This window comes from Homo sapiens, chromosome X (genome assembly GCF_000001405.40).
Source record: "Homo sapiens chromosome X, GRCh38.p14 Primary Assembly".
NCBI lineage: Eukaryota > Metazoa > Chordata > Mammalia > Primates > Hominidae > Homo > Homo sapiens.
The window spans coordinates 101,550,168-101,554,906 of NC_000023.11; the positions used below are offsets into that span (position 1 = coordinate 101,550,168).

Consider the following 4,739-nt stretch of genomic DNA (forward strand, 5'->3'; position numbering starts at 1 on the left):
ACATCTTGCTCCACATTTTACAGGGGTGCAGAAGAAATAGGACATTCATGACTTGTGATGGGGGGAGGTATAGAGAGAGACAGTTGGACTGGGACTAGAGAAGATAAAAAATTATTCCTCGAAGAGGAAGAAAAGGCCAACGGACACGGGAGCAGATACAGCCTCTCCCTGTAAACCAAAGAAAGGCAAATTCACCACAAAGAGAAGCTACTTCTAGTCTCCGGGGTTGGCAAAGAGGAAAATGAGTGACAGGACCTGATGTGTCAGGGAAGGAAGGGGAGGGCCGGCTTCTGCGGCGCTGCTGATGGGAGTGGTAATTGGGGTCCTGATCTCATGGTTGACGTGGCCCTCACGTGAGCTGGAGCCGACGCGTGCAGACGTCCTTCTAATCCTAGTCTTCGTTTGGTCCGGTTGCACTCTTCCTATAGCCCAGAGGGCGAGAGGGCCTGTGGCCTGGGGGAAGGAGGACGAGGTTCTGCCTGGATCCCAGCAGGTTTGTGTGTGGATGGGCGTTGCCAGGGGATCCCTGCGGCGCGGGCAGTGAACCGTGGAGGCCGAAGGGGGAGCACAGTTCACTTTCTCCAAACCCTTGCAGTATCCCTTGCCCTTTCTAGAACAAAAATGGTAGACCTTGGGGCCGGATTCCAGGGGCGACCCCAGACTCGGGCGTCGTGGGACCTTTAACATCCAGGGCCTTGAATCAGGGAGGGCGGATATTCGGATTCATGTCCTGTGTGCTGGCCCATCTACCAAGCCAGAATCTTGGGGCTGTGCGTCTGACAGTCATACCCCTTTTCTTTCAGTAGGACGCTGTGCCATTTGGGAACAAAGGAATAGTCTGCCTGGAATCCCTGCAGGTCAGTGTAAAGCTGGAGCTGTCCCGCGGCGCCCAGAAGGACTGGGATGACTGAGGTCCTTGCCTTAACTTGGGCCCTTTACCGACTCTCAAGCAATCTTCCTGCCATTTTTTTTTTCTTCAGTAAAAGAGGATGTAACAGTGGCTGCAGGAAAAGTGCTTGTGATTGCGGGTAGGGTGCGTTGGGGAGAGGAATAGAAGAGATCGGTTGGTTTTGTTTTTCTCCTCGGATTTTCCATATCCCCCCTCGCCCCGCCCCGCTTCCAGTGGTTTGAAAGGGGTGTGGTTTTGCTGGGAAAATGGCCGACCGCTGGGGCTGCGGGAGGGAGTGAGGGCCGGGGGCGGGGACGGGGGTAGGGGAACACTACCAAGCGACAGGGCTGGTGTCAGCGGAGTCCAGAGAAGTGAGGGTAGGGTGAGAAACAAAAAGGTAAAATCCATTGACAGCCAGGACCCTGAATTAGGAGAAGTGGATATTGGGACTCCCCGAAGTGCTTTTCTGTCCGCTGAGCCTTCAGTTTCTGCCTTGTTGCCTGTGTCTGCAGATCTTGGGGCCGGAGGCCAGTCCAACCCTTGGAGCAGGAAGAAACGCAAAGTTGTCAAGAACCAAGTAGGTCATAATAAGGGTGATGGCATTATTTGGGGGTGGAGCATGGTGGCGACTGCAACTCGAATGGGCCCGTGGACCCCTTCCATATCCCCCTCCTTCCCTCTTATCTACACCATTTCGGAGCTTGCAAAAGAAATTGTTCTGCAAGTACAAGACAGGGAAGAAAATAGCTGAGAAGGGGTGGGCGTCAAGAGAGTCCAGGGGTTGGGAGGACGTTACTCCAAATTACTGTTTGGGGTACAGGGTCCTTGGTGTTGGTCCGTCGACCAAGCACTCACTTCTGAAGTTTGTCAGTCTTGAAGGTTTAGTGGAAGCGGAAACCGAGGTGAGGGAGGTAAGAAATTGCTCCGGAGCAGAGGTAGTTGGTATAATGACACGGGGTGGGGGGGGGGGGCGGCGGTGTCCTGGTACATTTGAGATGGAGGAGTTGGCGGAGGCAAGGGCGGAGTTGGAGACCTTTAGGCATTTCACGCCAGTACGGCTTTTAGATATTCTCACTTCATTTTGTTACAAGGAAAATGTTAACGATGAAAATGTGTGGCGACATCTTCGGAGGATGCCAATGATGGGAGTAGGGGTGGAGGTGGAATGGAGGGTTAGAGGAATCATCGAAGGAGGAAGAGGGAGGGAGATAATGAATTCCAAAGCCGCAGCTCTGTGAGGAGAGGAGGGTAACCGAAGGCGGGAAACATTGGGCAAGGCAGTTGTAAAGGGCTAGGAATTCAGAAGAGGGATGTGTGCCCCGTCCCGGGTGAGATCTATATGTACCCAGAGCTCTCAGTACCCCTCTCCCCGCGCCCTTGGTCTGCAGGTTTGCACGAAGCAGTGCACTTGGAAGCAAGAAAGAGAAGGAAAAAAAACTGCCTGGACCTCTGTGGGTGCATGTGAGGGCGCCACTGTTCACAGGACATCTGGAAGGGCAGGGGTGGCAGGGAACTTTAACGTTCTAGGGTGGGGTGGTGGAACGTGAGGTTGGAGAGTCTTTAAGCGGGGAAAATTTCCAAACTTAGCTTCCGGGTGGAAGAAAGGAATCAGTGATCTAGATATCAAGCCCCGAGTCTCTGCCAGTATCTCTGTATTTTTGTACGTTTGTTTGTTTTGTTGTTGTTTCAGTCTGTTTGCGTTCAAAGACACAAAAAGGAGCCTGAAATCTGAAATGCATCCTTTATTCCTAGGTCGAGCTGCCTCAGAGCCGGCCCGCAGTAGCTGCAGACTCCGCCCGCGACGTGTGCGCGCTTCTCTGGGCCAGAGCGAGCCTGTTTTGTGCTCGGGTTAAGAGATTTGTCCCAGCTATACCATGGGCCGCACTCGGGAAGCTGGCTGCGTGGCCGCTGGTGTGGTTATCGGGGCTGGTGCCTGCTACTGTGTATACAGACTGGCTTGGGGAAGAGACGAGAACGAGAAAATCTGGGACGAAGACGAGGAGTCTACGGACACCTCAGAGATTGGGGTTGAGACTGTGAAAGGAGCTAAAACTAACGCTGGGGCAGGGTCTGGGGCCAAACTTCAGGGTGATTCAGAGGTCAAGCCTGAGGTGAGTTTGGGACTCGAGGATTGTCCGGGTGTAAAAGAGAAGGCCCATTCAGGATCCCACAGCGGAGGTGGCCTAGAGGCCAAGGCCAAGGCCCTTTTCAACACGCTGAAGGAACAGGCAAGTGCAAAGGCAGGCAAAGGGGCTAGGGTGGGTACCATCTCTGGGAACAGGACCCTTGCACCGAGTTTACCCTGCCCAGGAGGCAGGGGTGGAGGCTGCCACCCCACCAGGAGTGGATCTAGGGCCGGGGGCAGGGCAAGTGGAAAATCCAAGGGAAAGGCCCGAAGTAAGAGCACCAGGGCTCCAGCTACAACATGGCCTGTCCGGAGAGGCAAGTTCAACTTTCCTTATAAAATTGATGATATTCTGAGTGCTCCCGACCTCCAAAAGGTCCTCAACATCCTGGAGCGAACAAATGATCCTTTTATTCAAGAAGTAGCCTTGGTCACTCTGGGTAACAATGCAGCATATTCATTTAACCAGAATGCCATACGTGAATTGGGTGGTGTCCCAATTATTGCAAAACTGATAAAAACAAAAGACCCCATAATTAGGGAAAAGACTTACAATGCCCTTAATAACTTGAGTGTGAACGCAGAAAATCAGGGCAAGATTAAGACGTACATCAGTCAAGTGTGTGATGACACCATGGTCTGTCGCTTGGACTCAGCTGTGCAGATGGCTGGGCTAAGACTGTTAACCAACATGACTGTGACTAATCATTACCAACATTTGCTTTCCTATTCTTTTCCAGACTTTTTTGCTTTGTTATTCCTGGGAAATCACTTCACCAAGATACAGATTATGAAACTAATTATAAACTTTACTGAAAATCCAGCCATGACAAGAGAGCTGGTCAGTTGTAAAGTACCATCAGAATTGATTTCCCTCTTTAATAAAGAATGGGATAGAGAGATTCTTCTTAATATCCTTACCCTATTTGAGAATATAAATGACAACATAAAAAATGAAGGGCTCGCATCATCCAGGAAAGAATTCAGCAGAAGTTCACTTTTTTTCTTATTCAAAGAGTCTGGAGTTTGTGTTAAGAAAATCAAAGCACTAGCAAATCACAATGATCTGGTGGTGAAAGTAAAAGTCCTGAAAGTATTAACCAAACTCTAATTTGGAGTCTGTCCCAAACAATATTGAGATATTTGCAGTTGGTACGATGTGATTTGTAAATTCTTTGTTTTTCATTGTGCGTATATGGTAAAGAGATCTTTTCAGCTGCTATTTTGGAATAATGACTATCATATATCATAACAGTGACTGATGTTGGTTGTAATGGTTGGGTTTAGGATGAACCATTTTAAGGATGCCAAATGAAATATTAGTATTTGTACACAGAAAGAATTTATTGATTTGATCTTATTACCTAGATTGAGATTTTTTAATCTTTCCTCTACCTAAACTGACAATGAATTGGTTATACATCATGCATAAGCTACACTTTTATATTAGTTTATATTTGTTATTCTAAGACTTGTGTTTCATCAATAAAGTTGTGTTTTAAGCAGCAGAAAAAAAAAAGACGTTGTCCTTGTCCTTGTCCTTGAGTTTATGATCTGTTTGGAAAGGTAAGATATATGGAAACTAAAACAAAGAGATATTAACAAAACCGGGAGACCATCAGTGCTTAGAGGCAGCAGAAACAGCTGCAGGCCACAGTGCTCAAGGAAAGTTTTGCAGAGGAGAACTCTTAAGTAAGCTGGGTGTGAAGGATAGGATACAAAAAG

General features: G+C 48.8%; 1 protein-coding gene across 1 annotated transcript; it reads left to right on the plus strand.

Moving 5' to 3' along the window:
* Nucleotides 380–4,533, plus strand: ARMCX1 (armadillo repeat containing X-linked 1). The gene is made up of 4 exons (NM_016608.2): nucleotides 380–493; nucleotides 804–857; nucleotides 1,402–1,466; nucleotides 2,642–4,533. Exon 4 carries the CDS (start codon nucleotides 2,764–2,766, stop codon nucleotides 4,123–4,125), a length of 1,362 nt encoding a protein of 453 aa, NP_057692.1. The 5' UTR covers nucleotides 380–493; nucleotides 804–857; nucleotides 1,402–1,466; nucleotides 2,642–2,763; the 3' UTR covers nucleotides 4,126–4,533.